Below are 23,378 nucleotides of genomic sequence, written 5' to 3' on the forward strand. Positions count from 1 at the left end.
TTTTATGGATCAACTTGCTGGGCCACGTGGTGCCCAGATGTCAGGTCAAACATTACAGTGGGTGTTTCTGTGAGGGTGTTTTAGATGAGATTCCCATCTAAATTGGTGGACTTTGAGTAAAGCAGTTGTGGGTGGTCCTCATCCAATCAGCTGAATGCCTGAATAGAACAAAAACACTAGTGTCCCCAAGCAAGAGGGAATTTTCCAGCGGACTGCCTTCAGACTCCATCTGCAATATGAGTTCTTCCTGATTCTATAGTAGACTGCTTTCAGACTGGAACTGGAATGTTGGCTCTCCCATATCTGCACCCAGCAGAATTTGGACTTGCCAGCCTCCATAATCATGTTATCCAATTCCTTATAATAAATCTCTTTCTACACATATAACAGAACCAATTTCCTATTGGTTCTGTTTCTTGGAGAGCCCTAATATGGAGGCAGAGGGAGAGTGAATGATAGACTCACTGGCTGTCAATTTGCTGAGAAACTGAATATACAAATAGACAACAGCCAGACTATATATCAAAATAGAACCCTAACCCAGTCTACAGCAACTATTCCAGAAACCTAATCCATTATCTACAATAACCAGCCCAGGAAGACAGCTTGCTATCTATAAGTCAGATTGTAACAGATTAGACCACTATCTCTAGAAACCATCCCAGGAAGCCAGACAATAATCCCTGTAACAATTGGCCCCAAACAGCCAAGACTTGGTTTATATCTGACAGCTTCCCTAATAATTGTCCCCACTTCCAACTCAGGACCAACCAGAGAGCCCAGTATGCTCCCCTAACCAATTATATAGATTGTCACACTATGAGATGGCCTGTCCACAGCTTTTCCATGCTAACAGCCTCCAATCAGGGCACACCTGAAGCCTTGCCTTTTATCCACTATAAATGATTTCCCACTCCGTGGCCTGCCTTTGAGTCTCTGTCAAAAGCAAATGATGATGGTTGTTTCTCTTGATATAGTAAGCTCTAAATAAATAGTCTGTGCTTGTTTTCATTTGATTGATCTTCATTTACTTCCACATTACCTAAAAATGAGCTCTTGGAAACAACTCATCCAAGGGAATAAAGAGTTTGACCCCAGAGTTTGATTCAAGGACAGTGGAGCAGCCTCAGAAGGAAAAGATGATCCAGCATTCCCAGTGTCTGTCCCACAGATTGTCTTCCTGGGCAGCCCTCAAGAGAAGGGAACTACAGTAAAAGAGGATGAGCAAAGTGAAATCTTTCTCATGCTACCATCTCTCTCAGACTTCAAGAGTACAAGGGAACAGCATCACTATTGCCAACAACTTTCGCAGCAACTTTAACACTGACATGGGATGAAATCCTCAGGTGTCAGGATCCCCAGAGGTAGGACCCTTGCAGTTCACAGCAGATGCAGGAGAAATCTCCAAGCAGAGCAAAGACAGAGAAGATGGCAGATGCTACGGGTAACTAGGTCCTCCAAGCCTCATGAAATGCCAGAAAAATGGAGTAGGACCTTGAGGGAATCTTTCAGGTAGAATAGGAGTGAGCAAAGTCAAAGAAAGCCTGTTTGCTGGTGATTATTGTAATCTTGGGCTTATCCCAGGCTGGCTTAGACAAGGAATCACAGGCTATACACAGAATTTTAGCAATTGCTTAGCTAAATTCATTGTAAAATCTCTCTTCTATATGTCTACTTTTCTATATTCCCCTTTTATCTGAATTTCCAATCTTGGTATAAGTTTCACAGAGTGATAAATGTAGGTCAGTCGTGGTACCATGTCAAACAAGAGAGACATTTATGTGTTTCATTGCTTATTAATGAAATAACACCATGACAGATGATACCTGTTTCAGAGAAAGTGTCATAGGAGTCAGCCCACCACAGTAGTATGTGAGCTCAACAGTCCCATCAACAAGTGAGTCAGGCAAGATATAAATGTTCATTTATTTGCATGCATGCTTGTCAAAGTTGATGAATATTCTCATTTAAAACAAAACAAAACTAAAAACAAAATTGTTGTATAGCAACCAGTTAGGACAGTTTTCTGAAATTGCTGAAATACCCAATTTAAATGAATATCTGTTTATAGATGTATTTCTTTTTCATATCATTTCCTTCATGGGTTTGATGGAGGGCATGTTGTTTTAAAATGTAGGTTTTATTATTCAGGTATGGTGAGGTCAACAGATGAGAAGGCAATGCCATTGATGAGAGTTTGTTACTCACAGTTCCCAAGACTGGGACGGCATAAAGTGCCAGGAGTGGGGGTTTCCACTGGTCACGCACCAGGGTCAGTCAGGAGGCAGAGGGAATGATGAGGAAAATGCAGGCAACACCCTTTATTGTGGTTTCCACTGGAAGGAATGGGAAAGGCAAGGCAAGCAGGCTTAGAATCGGCTAATTTGAGTAACTTTAGCAGGTTTTAGGGAATACAAACTGTCTCTGGTTGCCTGTTACCTGGTCCTGGGTGATTAAAGCAAGGGAATCTTTGCCCTAAGTGTGAAAGCCCTGTAGAGGAGGTGGTGGGGTGTGGTCTTTGGGTTGGCTGGTTTGCATATGAAATGCATGCCACAGGCCAGTCCTTCACTACCTCTAGGAATTGACCAGCAAGCAGGGGCAGTTTCTCCAGGGTCAGCAGATGCCAGAGCATTAAAAACACATGGCTAATACATGTGTGTTTTTACTCTCCAGTCCATAAGCCTCTGAAGAACAAAATTTCATCAAAGGAGCCTCTTCGCTGTTCTATAATATTACATATTTAGGGGGCTGTGATATTTATTTATGCATTAAGATGCTAGCAAGACTTCAAGGAACTTCAGCCTAATTCAAGCACACACTACTGCAGCCCTTACAGTAAACAATGAGGTCAGCGTCCTTGGGCACAAAGTGGGGAACTGGATGGATCCCACAACTCCTAACTCTTGGGTGTTTCCTCCCTGCTCCCTTTGTCTGTCTGCTTTCTCAATTTGCCCTGGGATCACTTTGTACTGAAACCTCCCATGAAATAACTCTGCTCTAGGCACTCTGCCTCAGCCATTTCCCATGATTTGATGGTTGGTTAATTTTGTACCAGTGGTGGGCTAGACTTGGCTTGTGAGAGCCTGTTGTTAAATTTCCAGGAATGTCATGAGCTGGATGTTAAACATAGCCATTTTGAAAAATTGAATCATATAAACTAGCAATTAAATTAGTTATATTCAAACAAATTTAGTAAGTGCTCAAAACTTGGTACTGCCAACTTATTTTATTATTTTATTATAATTAAATTATTTTACTACATCTTACCACTGCCTACACTCTTGAAGCTATTTACATCTATCGTGTCTGGATGATGGAAACACTTATATAGTGTATTTAGGCATCTAACTACCAGGCATCCCTTTCTAATGACATGTTCGCAAGTCATACTGGTGACTTGAAGTGAATATATTTAGACCATGGAAATCAGCAAACACCATAAATCAAGATAAGATGGAAAAAAATATTAATACTGCAGATAAAACTTAAAAGCTTGTACAAAAAGATCTATAACCATTACATCATGAACAGCACCAAAAAATGACAAAGCATTCTTCTAGTATTTAAAAACTATTATCTGATACAGCCAATAAGTCACTTGCATCATTAATGAACAAGGTCCCATAGAGGTCTTGCTTGTTTCACTTTTGTTTACTCCTAATGTAAACAAAAATATCTTCATGTTGGAACTCTACTAGTTCATCATTTGCAACCAGAAGTTAGGTATGAACACAGGAATTTGGTAAAAATCAACAAAAGCATTCTATGAAAATCAATAGCTGTAAGGAATTTCAAATAAAGTGTATTACATATTTTATTTTGATTTGTTAAGTTGTGTGCTATATAGCCGTTACATCAATAAAATTTATGTTTTTCCTGAAGAGCTAATTGCTATACATTTACCAGCACACAATTGCTTTCCGCTATTCCAAGCTTCAATTTCTTAGTTGATAAACTAAGAGGTTGTTTTAGATGAACTTTGTTTCCTTCCAATTCTAATTCTTTTTTTTTAATTTAATTTTGTTTTAGGTTCTGGAATACGTGTACAGAACGTGCAGGTTTGTACATAGGTAAACGTGTGCCATGGTGGTTTGCTGCACCTATCAATCCATCACCTAGGTATTAAGCCCTGTGCGCATTAGCTATTTGTCCTGATGCTCTCCCTCTTCCCACCCCCTCAACAGGCCCTGTTCCCCTGTGTGTTGTTCCCCTACCTGTGTCCATGTGTTCTTATTATTCAGCTCCCACTTATGAGACATGTGGTGTTTTGTTTTGTATTCCTGTGTTAGTTTGCTGAGGATCGTGGCTTCCAGCTCCATCCATGTCCCTGCAAAGGACATGATATTCATTTTTATGGCTGCATAGTATTCCACGGTATATATGTACCACATTTTCTTTATCCAATCTATCATTGATGGGCATTTGGGTTGGTTTCAGGTCTTTGCTATTGTGAATAGTGCTGGAATAATTCTATGATCTGGAATTATTCTTATCTTATAGTTTAAAAAAAAATCTTCTACTCTTAATAGCTGACTGAGCAGCAGATGATTGATGACTCATTTCTGAAAAGAGGATTTAAGTAAAACCAAGGGAACAGCTAGCTTCCCAAGGCCTCAACATGAGGAGGTGACATACCCCTGACCCCTGTGCTTAGTGGCCTCCTTGGAATACCTTCCGGAGGTCACTGTCATGAGTTCCTCACCAAAATCCCCTAGTGGGCATAAGGCAGAAGTCCCATTCATTAAATAAATATTTTTTGAGTACCTACCATATGTCAGGTGCATTTCGGGGCATGAGGGTTGCAGCACTGGTGTCCACTGCCTCACGGAGCCTATATTGTAATGAGGGCAGATGCATTGTTACAATAGGCGACAGGCTACAATGAGAACAGCACAGATTAAGAAGGCATAACTTTTAATCTATGCCAGATGCACATAAACTTTTTCTATAAAGGGCCAACAAATAAATATTTCAGGCTTTGCAGACCACTTCATCTCTGTTGCAACCGCTCAATTCTGCTGTTGCAATGCAGAAACAGCCATAGACAATTAACAATAGGCATGGCTATGTTCCAATGAACCTTTATTTACAAAACCAGGGGACAACACTGCAATCTAGGCTACAGTTGGATGATCCCTAATCTAGGCAGCCAGTAGATTGTTCAAGAACATGAGATGTAAACTGGGCAGGAGTTGGGTGAAAAGAGGGGAGAGAGCCATGTTACAGTAGAGGGAGATGGGGGCCAGATTTGGAAGGTCTTTTGACTTTCAATGGAATGCACTTTAGCCACCCTCTCCCACTCCAGCCAAGACGGCACAACCAGGCTCCCCAACACCCCAGGGCCAGGCAATGACCCTTATTTCTCAAACCTGGAAGAGCACAACCCATGTCAGCTTGCCCCCCACATAGACATTATCCTCACTCTTCTCAGGCCCTAATAACCCAGACCTACCTGCCCTCCTCCCCACACCATCCCCTGTGCTGGGCTGGGCTGTTCCGCTACCCGTGTGTCCTCTTCACTTAGCCCAGGGCCCATCACCTCACTCTGAGTCACATGGCTCCCCTATCTGGGATGCTAACCTCCCAGGCCCCACCCAGTGGCTTTTTGACTGAGCTGTTCAAGAAGGAAATGAGAAAACATAACGCAATACAATTTTCACACCAAGAAAGCAATTATAGCTTACGATACCATAATATTACCTAAATATTCCACTCATATTTGAAATTCCCCAATTATCCTAAAAATGTCTTGCTTAGCTGTTTTGTTTTTGTTTTTCCAATCCAAGATCCAATCAAGAACCCCACATTGAGTTGGTAGTCATAGCTCTTCAGCCTCCTTTAGACTAGGACAGTCCCCTTCCCTGCCTTTGTCATTCATGACCTTAACATTTTTTAAAAGTAGAAACCAGTAGTCAGGTATAAAGTCCATAACCTGGGTTTTTCTGATTGTTTCCTCATGATTCAGTCTGGGTTAGCTCTTTTTTGGCATGAGTACCACCAGGTGATGCTGGGCACTTCCCATGGCATCATATCAGAAGATGCAGAGTGTCACTGCGCCCCATTACTGCTGTCCTGTTCAGTTTTCACTACAAATTCTGGGCTGTACCATTAGTGTGTTGGACAGTATCCAGTCACTGATTTTTTTTTTAATCGCATTGACTTCGGCCCATTAATATGCTGTGCCATAGTGTGTCTCCCCTCTACTCCCTCTGAAGCTGCCTTTGCAAAGATTATGACAGTGAGAGAAGTCTTGCATGGCTGACTCCATCCTGCCTCTAGCCTCACAGGCTGGCTCTCTCTGATCATTCCTCACCATAGGTCAAGCTAAACATGGGAAGAATTTAGTTTATAGTTTAACTTCGAAGCAAGGATAATAATAGTCCCTCCTTAAAACTGCTCCCTCCTTGTTTGGGGGCTGAAACTGCCTTTGTAAGATGAATGAAAGGCCACAAGATTAGGATTATGGGGAGTGGCTTGAGTTCTGCTACAACATAAGCATGCCTTCTATAACCCCTTATTACTCAGCAGTTATGTGGCCAGAGGTCACAAGATCTGTGACTTTCCCAATTGCTCCTATAGATAACAGCACTACTGTAGAACCTAAGATTGGTTTTTTGAGGTTTTTTCCAACTGACCCGACCCAGTCTCCTGACTCCTGATTCAACTGGTTCTGTGGCCCCACCCAGAGGTGGATTCAGCCTACAAGGACCGGTTTCCACACCCTACGATTTCATCCTCAATCAGTCAGCAGCACTCATTCCCTAGGCCCCTGCCCACCAAGTTTCCATAAAAATCCTTATCTCCAAGCCTTGGGAGACTGATCTGAGTAATAATTCTGTGTCCTGCGTGGCCAACCTCATGTCAATTTACTTTACTACAAGGCTATGGTCTTGGTGGATTGACTTTGTCTGTGCAGGAAGAAACTATCAAGAGAATATACCTCCAGCTGCCCAGCATGGGCAGACCCCAAGTAGGGTGAAGGGAGTATCCCAGGCCAGGGTATGGGAGACCAAAAAGGGTAAGGAGAGATTACCAGTGGGAGGGCGGCACAGAGCAGGGTGTTGGAGCCTAATCAGAGTGAACAGGGAGTCAGGCAGGAGGTGCTGGAGTCTAAGTATGAGGAGGAAGGCATTTTTGCAGAGGGAAGCCTGGTGCAGGGTTCAGAAGCCAAGCAGAATGAGGAAGGCATCCAAGAGGTGTGGGTAAGACTTGATGCAGGAGCCCAAGGAAGGTGGGGAGGATATTCTGGCACAAGGTATCTGCACCCAAGCAAGGTGAGAAGGGCATCTGAGGCTACGGACAGCCCAGTGCAGGGAGACGGTCTGGGCAGGGTGAGGTCATCCACATAGGAACGGGCACATCATGGCTTCTGCATGGTCCACAAGCAAAGGGAAGAGGCATCCCAGTGGTAGAGCAGCTCAACACGAGGTGCCAGAGCCTAATCTGGGTGAAGAGGGCATCCCAAAAGGGGCAAATGGCAATAGCAGTGTAGCAGATTAGTTACAATGTGGCTGCATAAAATAGGAAACTTTTGTTTTTTAATTAGAGCAAGTTTCTCATGGTCAGTAAAGAGACTTACAATTATGGTAAAAAAGAAAACAAGAATGAATCATGTGGTTTTGGGTTGAGTGAGATAACTGTGTGAATTTGTGTTTTTTAAATATATGTGTGTGTGTATGTGTAGATATGTGTGTATATACATATGCACACATATATACATACATATATGTATTTATATATAAATATATATATATTTATGTATTAAATGTGTATGTATGATTTAAACATATATGTGTGTATGTATATATTTCTGTATACATACACACACTGTATATACACATATATACACACACACACATATATATACATGTAGATATAGAAATACAGTAATATGAATGTATGTATTTTTATATATTATACATGCATAGTTGTATCCCAGCTCTGCCCACTGAGAGGGCCTAGAAGCAGGGACTTACCAAGAGCATTTAGCACACAGAGCACCCAGATTGTGATTTCTAAATGCCGTTATTTGCCAAAAAGCAGCAAGGGCTCTGGGAAAAAATGTCTGATTCCAGGGCTGGGGCAGGTAATGTAGCACATGGACAGCTTGCTGTGCCAGAGTGACAAGAAGGGCTAAAAGAATGATTGGGACACTTCAAAAAGGTCCAGAAAACAGCTTTAAGGGGCTTCCACTGGCCACATATTGGGCAATTTGTGCATCAAATAAGTGAGAATAGCAACGGATTATATCCTATTGAACAAAATAAGAATCCATAAGTTCATACTGATAAAAATGAACAAATAAAGAAGTGAAGAAATGGAAATTTTGATAAAGAATAGGATATTTAAATGGCCTCAAAGTATCTCGTATCTCCCTACAAATATATATAGAGAGAGAAATATTACAAAGAAGAAAATAGTACACCTAATTTGAGAAGCCTGGCAAACACTCATCTAATCAAATGATCAAAGTAAATGTCATCAGTAATGAAATAAATTGAAATGATGCCCCATCTCACAGCATCCAATGAGACAAGTCCTACATCACCTCTGTGATGTTACTGCCAAAGACATAGCCCAAATCTTATTGTGAGGGAACAGCAGACAATCCCATTGAGGGACATTCTATGAAATTACCTGCCTGTAATCTTCAATGTGTCAAAGTTATGAAAGTGAAGGAAAGCACAAGGAACTGTTGCACATTGAAAGAAACTGAAAATATGTGAAAACTGAATGTAAAGGTAGTTCTAGACTAGGTCATTTTACTATAAGCACATACTTGGGACAACTAGCAAAATTTGAAGGAAATCTGAATATCAGATGGTAGCAATACATCACTGTTAATTTCCTCATCTTGATTGAATTGTGGTTCTGTAGTGGACACTTATCTGTAGGAAATTCACACTAAAATATCCAGGAGTATAGGACATCATGTTTTTTGTTTGTTTGTTTGTTTTTAAGACAGAATCTTGCTCTGTCACCCAGGCTGGAGTGCAGTGGTGTGATCTTGGTTCATTGTAACCTCCACCTCCTAGATTCAAGCAATTCCCCTGCCTCAGCCTCCTGAGTAGCTGGGACTACATGCACACACCACCATGCTCGGCTAGTTTTTTTCTATTTTAGTAGAGATGGGGTTTCACCATGTTGCCCAGGCTGGTCTCCAACTCCTGACTTCAGGCAATCCACCCGCCTCGGCCTCCCAAAGTGCAAGGATTACAGGTGTGAAGGGCATCATGTTGACAACTTATTTTCAAGTGGCTCAGAAGAAATGTCTTTGTACTGTATACACACACACACACACACACACACACACACCCCTACATACATAGTATTATGATTATGTAGGAAAATATAACTGTGCTCTTGGGAGATTACATGGTGAAGTATTTAGGGGCAAAAATTTACTTCAAATGATTTGACAGAGAGAGAGAGAGAAGGTAGCAAAACATTAGCATTTGATGAAATCTGGGTGAAGGGTATGCTGGGTTCATTCTTTCAACCATTCTGGAGGCTTAAAAAGTTTCCAAATAAACAGCAAAGGAGAGGAGAAAAAAATGAGAAAAAGTGCAAACAATAAAGTTTGTAGGAGTTCTTAAGTGGGGGAGAAATGAATGAAAACTGAGAACTGGAGATCAGGCTTTTAATGCTGTTCTTGCCTTACTTTGTGGTGCACCTTGCGCTCTTTAAAAATAAAAGAGAGTTACACAGGAAAAAGTTTGTCCTGGTGTTATAAAGAGCTTAGCCGTATCCTAGCTTTCATTAAACTACCTCCTACTGCCACCGGATGTACCAGGCCTACACCTCTCCCTCTGCACGCAAAATACCACCAACTCTTACTTCTTCCTGCCCGCTTCTGGGTGAGCCAAAGCAGGGCATCCCTGGGCCTCCCACTTCTCCCCACTGGATCCGTATCCTCCTCACCCGCACAAAGGGTGACGGGAGGCATGAGTGACGGATGGCTTCAACACGAAGGGCCTTCTTAAAGCCTGTGCTGGAGACAAAGTTGTTTTATTCCATAGACATGAAGAGCTCAATTCCTATAGCCTAGAAACTTTCCAGAGACCCACAGAAACACTTGAGATCTGCAAAAGGTTTTTCACTTGAAAAAGAAAAATGCACCCTTGACATCCAGGAGCCGGCCTGGTGCTATCAGCTAAGCCTTGGTGTTCTCTTGCTGAACACAATTTCACAGAAAACCAACTTCAGATATTGTCCATTGCGTAACAACATTGGATCAAGACAAGACCCCTTGGTAATCATGGCAAAACACAAACAAAGCATGAACTTGTCCAAGCTGAAACATACCAAACACGCCCACCACCCCCTATTCTCACTAAAGTCAGTGAACAGGGCTGCTTTATCAATCACAGGTTTAGCCTCCATTAGTATACTCTCTTTCCAGATAAGGTTTGTGGAGATACCCAATCACTTCCTGACAGCATCCAATCCAGAGCAAAGCCTCACTTCTCCAAACTCTCTCTCAAATCACCTGACACCCAACACAAGCCCAAACGCCATGACAGGTCTTCTATCACACCCTCTTATTGAGATGCCCCATGGTTTCCATGGTATATATTATCCCTTGCTGAAACAAGTAATAAATCCAACTACTTTAAATACAGGTGTGTTCCTGGAGGGCTTTGGGTAAAGAACATTGATAAGCTCTGCAGCCTGCAAAAAAAAATTGACCCCAGAATACTAAAGAAATACTATTTCTTTAGAAAACAAATTGGTAAATATTAAGTAAAATAACACTATCTCAATTTCCTTTATTATTACATTTATAATCCATAACGTGTTATGACCTCTGAAAATAATTTGTGTGTTAGATTTAATTATCTCACTGCATAAGAATTCCCAAGTCTGCCAGCTGATTACCGAGAAATCACGGCCAATTGTAAACTAAACAAGTAACCAATTTCATGCACAACCTCCTGGTTGGCCGTTGGTTGTGTCATGCAGACTTGGTGCAGCCAAGGCCGACCAGCATGCTGCCTCCCTTATCAACGTTATTTCCAGGCAGTTCAGTGTCTGGGCCCGGCCTGCCCTGTCGGCCTCCTTGCCCATAGGATCTGGTTTCTGCCAGCTAGGCTGACCCTTCCACCTCTCTATTATTTGGGGATGTTTTCCCGTTGTTTGATCTCACTGATGCCCGCACTCTGGCCTCAGCTGTCAGTCACGTAAAACTGTTAGCTCTTCTCTGATTCTTGACCTTCTCGCCTCCTCCCTGCTGCCAGGGGAGTCCTTTGCTAAGCCCAAGCCTTCCTTCAGTGGTACCTTTCCTTCAACCTCACCTCCCTCTCTCCTGCCAGCCACACAGAGGAAGTCAGCTAGCCAGGCACAATGGAAGCCATCCTCAATGGAGGAATTCTCATCTAAAGAAAAGCCTCTGGAGGAACTTTATTTTCCTTCAACAGTCACATTTCTAGGAAAAAAAAAAACAAAAACCTAGAGCCAGAGATTCTGAGACTTTCCGGATGTGGAAATGGAACTTGGAAATGATTGAGTTCAGTCCTGCCATTTTCCAGATGAGAAAACTATGATATCCATGGTTCAAGACTTTTTCTGCAAGACTAGGATGCCTGATTTTGCCTTTTCCCCTTAAGTCTATTGGTTTTACGATTTAGTAAGAAGAAAAAAAGTATGTTTCCTTTTTTTTTTTTTTTTTTTGGTCAAACTTTAAAAAAATACAACCACAACTGTGAAATGGTACATGATTTTTTTAAGGCCCCTATAAAAGGCAGCACAGTATGAATTATATCTTCATCAGTGCAGGTTATGAAATTACTCCAGAGAGTTATCCCTGCGGAGACTGGCAGTGCATAGACTGTAACTCAATGGAATTCAATTCCATCCCGAGTTCACAGAAGGTAATTGATGGAAGGAAGCAGCAGAAATTGCCTGAGAATTCTTCATGGATAATGTCTCTGTTTCCCCCACAATCTCATTTTGCACACAAAACAAACAAAACACAATTCAATCTCCCAAATTGTGTGGCTCCAATTGTTTGCTTCCTTTTAAAAAATCATCCAACCCACATCACCCACAGCCACAGCTCTCCTGTGGGGCAAATTAAGTCTAGTATTGGCAACACGTTTGACCTCCATCCCCCACTCCCCTCCTGCGTCCTGGACTTCCAGCCGTTCTTTGTTTCAGGTGGATCCTTTGTTTGGGGCCATGACAAAAGCACAAGAATTAAACTTTACCAAGAAAAGACCAGCAAACTTGACTTTGATTTCACGTTCCAGGCAATTTGAGAGCAGAACAACAGATTCCTTTGCCCTTCTTTGCAGCATCTTGAGCAAAACAATTAACAACAACCACAAAAGTTCTCCATACTGACAAGAAAAATGAGATGTAAAGGGTATAGCTCACTGAGATAAGTACATAATCAAAATATCTCATTTAATCGCTGGTTTCTCCCAACTCAGAGAACAATTATCATGACACACACTGACATGACTTCAGGGCCCACTGGGAAAACCGACCCAGAAGAAACACAATTGTGTGGGCTTGCATAAGGGTCTGACCCAAAGTTATGGCTGACCCCTGAGAAGGGTGATCCTCCCCCTCAAACCTAGTTACAACATTCAAGGTAATGGGACAACTTGGATATCATCCAGGCAAATAGAAATTCTCCCTGTGATTGGAGATTCTGGGCAGTGCTACTACCCAAAATCTCTTCTTGGGTACCCAGAGCTTGGTGTCTAAGCTTGGTACACAGAACTTGCTGCCAAATTGGTTGGGTGTGGTGGCTCACACCTATAATTCCAGCACTTTGGGAGGCCAAGGTGGGCGGATCACTTGAGGTAAGGAGTTCGAGACCAGCCTGGCCAACATGGTGAAACCCTGTCTCTACTAAAACTACCAAAATTAGCCAGGCGTGGTGGCTCACACCTGTAATCCCAGCTACTTGGGAGGCTGAGGCATGAGAACCGCTTGAACCTGGGAGGTAGAGGTTGCAGTAAGCCAAGATAGCACCACTACACTGTAGCCTGGGTGACAGAGCAAGCTCTGTCCCCCCTCAAAAAAAAAAGAAAAAGATCTTGCTGCCAAATTGACAGCAAGTTCTGGGTACCAAGTTGGGGGTCCATCCCTTTTGAGGCAGGACTCCCCAAGCAGTGGAAAGAGGTACAGAGTCAGGTCTAGACCTCTAGGATGAGCAGAATGGCAAGGTCTTGGCAAGTGCATTACACTTGACTCCACAATTTTTTTTTTTTTTTGAGACAGAGTTTTGCTCTTGTTGCACAGGCTGGAGTGCAATGGCACGACCTTGGCTCACCACAACCTCCGTCTCCTGGGTTCAAGTGATTCTCCTGCCTCAGCCTCCTGAGTAGCTGGGATTACAGGCATGCACCACCACGCCCGGCTAATTTTTTGTGTTTTTAGTAGAGATGGGGTTTCTCCACGTTGGTCAGGCTTGTCTTGAACTCCTGACCTCAGGTGATCCACCTGCCTTAGCCTCCCAAAGTGCTGGGATTACAGGCGTGAGCCACTGTGCCCGGCGTGACTCCACAATTAAGGCAAGACTGAGATGCCAGGAACCAGGGCAGGAATCCAATAGGAGGATAGGGGCAGACACCCATAGCTTCCTCCAGACATCAAGCTGAGGGGTTGCATACTGCTTCTAGCTCTGCCCACGTGAAGCGATGAGATCTGCAAATATGCAGCTCAAGGAGTGAAGAGTCTCCATGTAGGGTGTGAGCAGGCAGAGGTTGAAAACAAACATAAACCATCCGGGTACATCTATGTCTCCTTTCCCTCCTCTGTGAATATGAAAAAGTGAAGCACGAAGCAGGGATTATTTCTAAACTTGTTAGCTAGATCCTGACAGTTTAGACGTGAGGTATTTCTAACCTCTGTCATTGTAAATTCTGACTCGATGTTTTTCTCTCACTGAGAATCCCTAAGTGTTTCTTCTTTTTTTGTCTTGGGTTTTGTTTCCCACTAAGTAAAATTTAAGGAAGGAGTCTAAAGATTTGGTTTCAGACCAATTATCTCAGGTGGTTCGTTAAACTGAGGTCTGTAAAGTGAATCTATAATCGAAGGATGTTCCAAAGGATGCTGCTGACAGAGAACAAAGTGACAACTCAAGCTTACAAAGGTCAATTTCAGTGCTTTTTAGTTAATGCCAAAAGCAACTTGAATCAGCATTGAAACTTTCTTCTAAAGGGCCGTAAGAGTAGGTGTAAATCCATCTTTTATTTTAATTCATTGGTTTACACTGCATAGATTCATTCTCCTCTTCCTACTCCCACACCAGTTGAAATAAATTCAGTTGTTTCTGTCTCAGAGGAAGGTCACATCCATTCTAACTGAACAGGGCCTAAGGCTGATTCTGGAAATGACTCTGTAGCAGAACATACCTGCTAAATATTTGTGGTGTCTTTAGACAGATAGAATGTAGCAGGTTCAGAATAAAAGAAATATAGCACTTTCTTTCAAAATTTTTTTTACATTTTTAAAAATTTTTATTTTGTAGAGTCAGGGTCTCACTATGTTGCCAAGGCTGGTCTTGAACTCCTGGGCTGAAGCAGTCTTCCCGCCTTGGCCTCTGAAAGTGCTGGGATTACTGGTGTGAGCCATCACACCTGGCCCAAAATAGAACCCTTTCAAAAGCCTGTTAGTTTTGTATAATTTTAACAGAGGCAGAGATATTCATTATTCATTATTACCCATTATTTTTTCCAGAAATGTTTCCTAAAAGGCTCTTATGTTCCAGATCAAGTGCTGTGTGCTAGGGATTCAAAGGTGAAACTTAGCCTTGCCCTTGAGGAGCCCACAGTCCAGGAGAGATTGAGGGAGACTCAGAGCTAAATAATGAAAACTCCCCATAAGGGAGACTTCTGAGAGGACAGCACTGATTGCCCAAAAGGCCAAAAAGGTTTCCTAGTGAACGTGGGGGTGGAGCTAATCACAGAGGGCATTTTTCTTTCTGAAATGAGAATAGACCTAAAAACAAAACAAAACAAAACAAAACAGAACAAAACCTGTCAACCATGAGGTCCAGCACAAGCTGAGAGTGACACAAAGCTGGCTAGGGCCAACGACAACCGCGAAAGCAGGAGAGGATCGAAACACGATGTAGGCTGAAAATACTTTTAAAAAATTGAAAATATTTTCAAAAGCAGGTGAGGAAACAAGAATCACTCGTTGATCCTTTTGATCAGGCCACATTGGGATGTGTGAATCTCCTGCTACTTTGAATTGATCAAAGTACTGATCATTTAACTTTTCTACTTACCCCGTAGCTGTTGGTTGGATTTTGTTCTTTGTGTGGACGGCTTGTGATTTAATAGCAAGTGTGGGTAGATTTCAACTGGGCTCTCTGCGTCTGAGCAGCCTCTCCTCTCAGCCTCATATAGCAGGTGCCACTGCAGCCCTGGAAGGTAAATATGAATGTCACTAGACATCTCTGAAACCACAGACTTTTAAAACTGACTTCCTATCAGACCCTGTAGGGCCCTGGTCTCTGAAGGTAAGAAATTTTCAACCCTCCAGTTCCTGTGGCTTTTGAGAGAACATCCCAAGAGGACTCTACAGGACCAATGATGACGGGTAAAATTAAATCAGCCCATGAGTCCCAAACATTGCAGTTACAGTTACAGGTATCATTCATTATCAATATACTCCCCAAGAATTAAATTGAGATGTATAAGTGTGCATATGCGTGTGCACACAAGTGTGTACGTGTAATCAATATGAGTAATTTCCATCCTGGGTCTGGTTTTTACACTTCATTTTTCCAGTCCCTGAGAGCCCTAAAAAATCTAGTGCCCCATAACCCAACAGAATGCTAAGAAGCTAATGCTTTTGTTGTTTACACTTATATCACACTTCTCTGTCACTTTCTTCTCTGGGACTCCTGCAGTAAGTATTTGGGTGCTAAACATTAATATTTTTTAACAAACAACATGTTGCAGAGTCATTTGTACCTTCCCATATGGTAGATATATAATATTCATCTTCTACCCCTTTCTGGGAAAATACAAAGCAATGACGTGAGATGCTTCAGTCTCAGGTCCCTGAACTTGCCAGTACATGACGGGGGGCCTTGGCCTTGGATGGAGAATGTTTTGCTCATCCTGGAACGTTCCTCTCCCCCTCACTCTAAGAACCTGGATAGTGGTCCTGAACTTCTGAATCCCTCCTCCTCACCAAGTCCCTTGGGGGTGCACCTCGTTCCTGAGAAGTGCTGCAGGTAGGTACCTTCTACTGGAAAATGGGGCAGAGGCCAAGGTAGAATGGAAAAGAGACTCCTGGGATTCACCATGGGGACATGGAGACCCTGAACTGTTGGATTTGAAAAAGGTGAGGGGCTCATTGAAAGGAAGCAACCAGCCAAAAACAGTGAAATTTGTGAACTTGTGTCATGTTCCAACTTTGTCACATCCTGTGCTTGCGAGGTGTGGATCAGACTGTAATTCCATCTGAACATGGCAGAAATGAGTGGCTGACTCAGACCTGTATTTTAGCAAGTTCTGTGTCTCTTCCTTTGTAGTCTTTCTAATTGTGCTGCTGCCGTTGGCCGCCTCTCCAGCTTCCAGGGTGGCTGTGTGATTTCTAACATCCTCTGCTGACTTCCCAGATGCTGAGCCAATGCTACGTCCTTCCCACTTGCCACTGGCCAGACACAAGGACCTCCCATTATTCTCAAGTCCAGCTTTCAGCAACCCCAGGCTTGAGTCCCAGCTCTGCCACCTATGACCTATGTGATCTTGAGCAAAAGTACCCAAATCTCCTTAGCCTCATTGTTTTTCCATGATAACATAGTCTCAATCCAATAGTTTTGTAAGGACTAAGCGAGAGCAAGCTTTTTAAGTTGCTTGGCCCAAATCCCACCCTGAAGTAGTTCAATATACATGTGCTGTTTTTCACAGGATGATTTTACATTAGGTGGTTATATAGCATCTGTAACAGTCCACCTTCCCACTCTGATGTGGTGATTTTGGCAGAGGCAATGGCTGGGAATGAGTCTCCATGGTTAGGAACTTTGCTCTCCAGGATGACTCAGGGACCGAAACAGTCACGTTGTAATGCTAAGCCTATGCGGAGCTTCTTAGGGGTAGGAGGCATAGAATACATCATGTGCCACCGAGCTAAAGAATTGCCATGCCATGCAGTGGTCACACTCTATTCTGTCAGTCACTGGTTTGAATAGACCTAGGAGAAATGCTTCAATACATCAAGACAGCCAGACCAAGTCCTGATGCAAAGCCCATGGCTAGCAGACTCAGAGCAAGTTCAAAAGGTGAGAAAAGAATGGAGTTACCTCGCTCTGTGACTGTGATGGTCTTAGTTAACCAATCTTGGGCCCCAGAATCCTTGGGACGGTCATGGTCAATTGAGCTGTGGATACCACACCCTTCACTGGCTCCCAAAATCCACTCAGGCTTCCCTTCCCACATGTTTCTGGAACACCCTCCATCCCCAGCAAGAGTTCTCAGATAGCCTGCCAATGAGTCTTGGTGTGGCTGGTCCCCAAGGTGGGCTGCCCAGCTTCAGAAGCCACCTCCTCTCTGGCCCTGGGACACCAGTCTTCTGCTGCAGGTCACCTCATCCTACAGCAGCTAAGCTCCTCCCTTCACTCACTGTCTTGTAAATGGACCAAGACCCTTCCCTTAATTCCCTGCAGCAATTGCTGAGACCAGATTTTGAAATTGTGGACAAGACTTAACTGATGGTATTGGGGCTAACAGGAGAGAAATATAACATAGACACTTGGAATACAACTGCAACGAGAGGGGGTCAGACCAGCCTTCCTGCTCAGTTTCCAGTCTTCTATGGTCCCCCAAAGACAGAGGGTGAGCTATGCTTCCTCTCCCTTCATCCCCTACCAAAAAGCCACACTCAGAGACCCAGATGTCCCTCAATCCTATCCCAAAATAAACATCACCCAGCAGATCACCATATCTCAGTCTAAGACATATGCCTCCCAGTTAAATTGCCTCCCAGTTCGACCCTCAGACCCGGGCTACCTGCCTCCACACAGGTTTAATCCAAGAGCCCATGCAGAGGCTTTTAGAAAACAATGATGTCTCCCCCAAAAGTAAATTGATGCCTTCACAAAAATGGCTAGCAGCTTTTAAACCATTTTTCTAGTTCCTACTTATCAGGATTTCAAAATCTTAGAGCTGGTTGCACCAAGGACACTGTTAAAATAGGAGCTGCTCTATCACTGAAATCACTTCTAAAAAAAAGAAACTGCAAAGGACTCAGGTTTCCATCAGCCGAGCTTTCACGATGAGTGTCCTACGCAGGGCCATTTGGCCACATAGACACAAACCCTCTGCACTGAAGCGTCCTGTTCTTTGTTTCCATCCTTTCACTCCCTCCTCTGTGGCAGGGCTGTTCTCGCACGCTTTGTGCCCTGCGTAATTGCTCTGCTGAGAGCCGATGAGTCACCCATCACCACTTCTTTTTTTCTTTCTTTCCTTGCGTCAGCTGAAGTTAGTCGATATAATGTGCCACTATAATGTTCAGGATACTGTAAAGAAAATCTCTTATTTTTATTTTTATTTTTGTAAAAACTCCAGCTTAGCTGGTCTTTGGAAAATAACTGGAAGGATCTAGTATTTTCTGCAAGTTGAAGCACTCTCGAGATGTTTCCTATGTTTTAATTCTTTGGCAAATGCCAGTTTCTTATACGATATAGGAGAAAAGAATTGATTAAAAATATGTGTTTTGAATCAAAACTGACTCAGTTAAAAATATATATATGTAACTTAGTCATGCAACCTGCTAGGCACCATTTGTAGGTAGCTCCACGGAAGAGCTCCCTCCAGTTGGAATCCCATTTCCAGTTTGAGATACCTTAGCACATCTCCCAGCCCCTCCCCCCCACCAGGGTCCTGATGCCCCATCTATGGAAGCTGGACTTTCCCTACAAGTGCCCAGAGCCCTGGGAGCAAGAGTGAGCTTTGGAGGGGACAGGGTAGGGAACCCCAGGGCTCCCCCCAGGGTTCTGGACAAAGAAGAAGAAAGTCCTGGAGTCCGTGAAGAAAGAACTAGGTTATTTATGGGAGAAATAAAACATCAGAAAGTACGTAAATATTTGAATAAACTTGTCTCAATAGCTTAATTGGAAAATTAGTTTTGACATCTTTCATTCTCTCCCCGTCTTCACCAAACATCCAGCAAAGCTTGGGTAACTCCTTCCTGAGAGCCAGGGGATGTGGAGATGATTGAGATCTGACCTTTGCTCCTGAAAACTTACCCAGACCATAGGGGTCCAGTGACCACCATTGTGATGGGGATGCTGTGAACAAGGGAAGCAGAGCTTGCTAAGACAACAGACAGGACAGGAGGAGCCTATACAAAATGGAGAGATCAGAAAAAGTTTCCTTAGTGCCTGATCATTGAGTAAGTACCAGGCAATGTGCCCTACCAAAAAGAGATGCATGTCTACCAACATGCCACTTCCTAAAGCCCAGCTCACATTTAACAAGCTCTTTTAGTGACACTAGAATTTTGTGAATTAGATTTGTACCAAAACTAGCCCCACTCTGATCCCCAGAACCACACAAGATGATGACAGCCGTAGGTGTGGAATCCAGCCTTCCTGGGAGAAGTAGGGCAGGAACAACCCACTGACAGCCAGTGTGAGAGCAGCATTTGCAGCCCGGGTTACCTGCTCCACACTGGTTCTGCAACCCAGCTTCCTGCCACAGACCTGCCCATCCAGGTCTGGGAACGCCGCGCGCGCACACACACACACACACACCCCAGATCTGGAGGGGCAGGTGCTTAACGCATTTTGTTCCACAGCAGGTGAGCAGCGCAATCTAATTCTTGACTCATAGATCAGGGTGGGAAGCGGACTTCCACTGAAAGCATGCCCCCCTCTCTCTGTGACGCCTGCATTCAGCCAGGAGCCCTGCGCATGAGATAGCAAGATTAATGAAAGTCTGACTAGCAGGCTCGTGGGCAGGGGGGAGTTCAGCCTATAATTGGAAAAATCAAGCAGTAGATCAGTGTTTTCCAAAGAGAAGTCTCCTTTGTTCTAAAATAGCAATTCGGTGTTTAGTTAAAGACAGGCCCTGGTGACCCCTAATAACTCTTAGCGGGTTCCTTTATGCCTCTAATAGAAGCTGCAGCTCTTTGGCTCATTTTAAATTACTACCAAGTGTTGTGTAGGTTGGGGCTTCTTGAAGGAAAAACAATTAATTGGAGAGGAAAAGCTATTCCTTAGCAACCACAGATAAAGGCAGTTCCCTTAATATAATCTGAGATGGAATCTAGCTCAGCAGAGCTGGGGCAAAAAATAGCTTTTCTCTGATCAAGGTGCCTGAGTTCCAGTTAAAGGAAATTAGGGAGGCCCTGGCTTCAGGATGCTTAAGACCACAGACAGCATTGCCCATGGGGAACACCCCTCATGACAGTGGAACATAGACATAAAGGGGCATCCAGCATCATGCAGCCAGGACATCAGGACATGGTCATTATCACAGTCCTTTGGCTAATGTGTATTTTTAATCCCCCTCTTTTCCCAATTACAATAAAGCTGAAAGGAAAGTGATTTTAGCAGTCTGAGTAACCATGTTGACAGGGTAATCGTCCACGATGACATTGGTTCTTGCATCTGCAGAATATGATTGAAATTGAATAGTATGCACTTAGTTATACAAGCTCCATCCAAATAAGATTAGAGACAGGTTCTAAAATGCACTGTGAACTTCCAGATAAATAATAAGAACTTCCAGATAAATAATATTATTTATTCCAGATAAATAATAAAACAGGGAAGAGAGCACAATAAAGGTAAACACTATGGGACAAAGCCAGAGAGCAAAGTGAGCACAGCAAACACATGACCGTAGGGGCCCATGCAATTGTGTGTGTGCATTAACTGAGGTTAGTATCCCAAATGCACTCGCACTACACCCTGTAGTATGTAGCTCTGTGTGTGTGTGTATATGTGTGTGTGTGTGCATGCACACTGAAGAAGATCCACCAGGTTGAGTAGCAATTGTGACCCACAGGGATCTACCCATAATTCCCACGTTGGCTTTCTCTGCCTGCCTTAATGCAAGGCTCAGCAAAACTTCCCACTTTCTGGAAAGAATCTATTCCCATCTGAACAATAGTCCAACTTACATCGATGAAAATTTCATAAGAAAGTTAGAGAAACTTTTTTTTTTCATCACATATACCACAGTGAATGCTCTGAATCTTCATGTAATATTTGATTTCTCCCCAGCCTTTCATCAAGGGGTCTCTCATTTTCTCTTGCAGCTCTCATCCTCAAGATTCCAGTGTTTCAGCTCCAAAAATCCTCCTCTGGGCCTCCTATCTCACGCTTTTTTTCAATTGCATCCTACAAACTCACATAACTCCTTGTCCAGACTCACATAACAAAGATCCCAGTTGCAGGATCTGCTCATTTTGAGAAGCAGAAACTTGCTAAGTACAGTGCCTCATGCCTATAATGCCTATAATATCAGCTACTCAGGAGGCTGAGACAGGAGGATTATTTGAGGCCAGGAGTTTGAGACCAGCCTTGGCAGTACAGCAAGACCTTATCTCTTTTAAAATAATTTAAAAATTAGCTGGGAATGAAAAAAAAAGCCAAGACAACATATAAATAACCATAACATTTTGTCCTATCCAATTTATCAAGAAGGATTTTGGCATAGAGTTTGGAAATAACATCTGACAAAGCAACAGCCCATGGTTAACCCTGTGTCTTGGTAGGTATGCATTTCAAAGGAACAGGGCAAGTTCTGGATAATATTTCTTCTAGAGACTTCCTTCATGATGTTGCAGGGAGTCCGTGACCACATTGATGTCTGCCTCTAGGTCACTGTCACTGCTACACTAACATCCAGGCCTGTTTCATCTTTACTTATCCCTTAAACAAAATGCAATCCAAAAAATCCTGGGGTTCTTCAGTAAGACCATGTTTGTTTTTAGTCGAGTTCACATCCAGATGTAAAAGGCTATGGCTTTTTTTGCCTTCAACATTCTCATTACTAGTCAGAAGTGTAAATTAATTCATGCTTAAAATAGGAAATGGCCTGACTGCCCACAACTCTCTGAGTGATTCATGAATCAATTGGACGGGGTTCTCTCTAATCTGTCCACACTCTCTCCCTGTTCTGTTTGTAACACTTTCTCTGCAGTGTTAAAAGTTAAGTCTGTGACCATTAACAGCATCCACTAGAGACGGATCCTTCTGCTCTGGACTCATCAGAATGGTGCCCCCACCAGACAAACACACAAGCCCCAGGCCTCACCCACACTTAACCAATAAGGCAGGAACCTCAGAGACAAGTACTTTGCTGAGCTTGACAGAGTCCCAGCAGAAGTAAAATGCTGGTGATTTATATGGAGTCCCAGAGTTCATCCAAATATTAATTGGTATTAGAATTACAGCATTTTAGAGCTACAAGGGAGCTTATTGATGATGTAGTTAAACATCACAGAGTTCCTGAAGAGACTCAGGGAAAATGAGTGAATTAATTAAGAGACTTTGGCTTCTGTGAGCCAGAGAAGGGCCTGAGCTCAGGTGGGCAGCTCAACTCTTGCTGGGCAACTGCAAGGGCTGTTCAGGCCAGAAAAGCCTGAGGGCCTGGGAGAGACTAGCTCAGAATCGTGTCATATTTAGTAGGCAGAATAAATGTCCTCCTCCGAGACCACTGAATAAAAATCAAGTCATTTTCCCAGAACCTTCCTTCTCTGGTCACTTCCTCAAAATGAAGAATTGCCTGTGGCCAGGAGAAACTGTAGGTGGAGAGATGGAACCCTGTGGGAAAGTTCCTGTCAGTTCTCAACCTGGAGAGGTCATTAAGGCTCCACCAGCCTCAGAAACAGGAAGGAGGATAATAAGCACCAATACTTGTACAGGACTTAGAATGTACCAGACGCCCTATAAGTGCTTCACATACGTGACCCTACGTACCCTCTTCTTCCAAGCTTGGGTTTGAGCCCAGCAGTCTGTCTCCGGGGGCTGCTCCTAACCCCTTCAGGTCCCATATCACCTGAATGTTGAGTTTTAGGAAAGGACTGAGGTGACTCACATACAGGATATGCCACAGCCTGGCACCTCAACAAACATGGAATCTGTCACCATTACTGCTGCTATTGCTTTTTTTCTTCTCCAGTTCGGTAAATGTTAATGGCAGGGGCATAACCTCATCCCTGGGGGATCTCTCCTCATTGGCTTACTTTGTTCTCATCTCAAACCTTTCGGAGGCTGGAATCAGGACCTATCCATTCAAATTCCAGATGTGTTACTTGCGCCTAATTGCAGAACTCCTCCCTTTGCTCTGACGCAAACTTAAAGAGCAGGGAGGCTGAGGTTCTGAAAGAACTAAACCTTTGAAATTCCAATGAGAAGATTAAAATGTGAAACCACTTAAGGGCCTGCACTTTGACAG

At 43.3% G+C, this 23,378-nt stretch overlaps 1 long non-coding RNA gene across 1 annotated transcript, besides 1 other annotated feature; it reads right to left on the minus strand.

Annotated features, from left to right (window-relative positions):
* Positions 1–4,214: 4,214 nt before the first annotated feature.
* Positions 4,215–15,437, minus strand: LOC107986884 (uncharacterized). The gene is made up of 3 exons (XR_001745703.2): positions 15,245–15,437; positions 4,769–4,831; positions 4,215–4,327 (listed from the first exon to the last, which is right to left on the minus strand). It is a non-coding gene; the product is annotated as an uncharacterized LOC107986884 (long non-coding RNA).
* Positions 23,084–23,378: a silencer, noted in NCBI's record as "tiled region #8795; HepG2 Repressive non-DNase unmatched - State 22:ReprW". NCBI's record gives its function as "represses a minimal TATA promoter and a strong SV40 promoter by Sharpr-MPRA in HepG2 cells {active_cell/tissue: HepG2}" and the evidence as "EXISTENCE:reporter gene assay evidence [ECO:0000049][PMID:27701403]".

Source organism: Homo sapiens, chromosome 8 (assembly GCF_000001405.40).
Source record: "Homo sapiens chromosome 8, GRCh38.p14 Primary Assembly".
Lineage (NCBI taxonomy): Eukaryota > Metazoa > Chordata > Mammalia > Primates > Hominidae > Homo > Homo sapiens.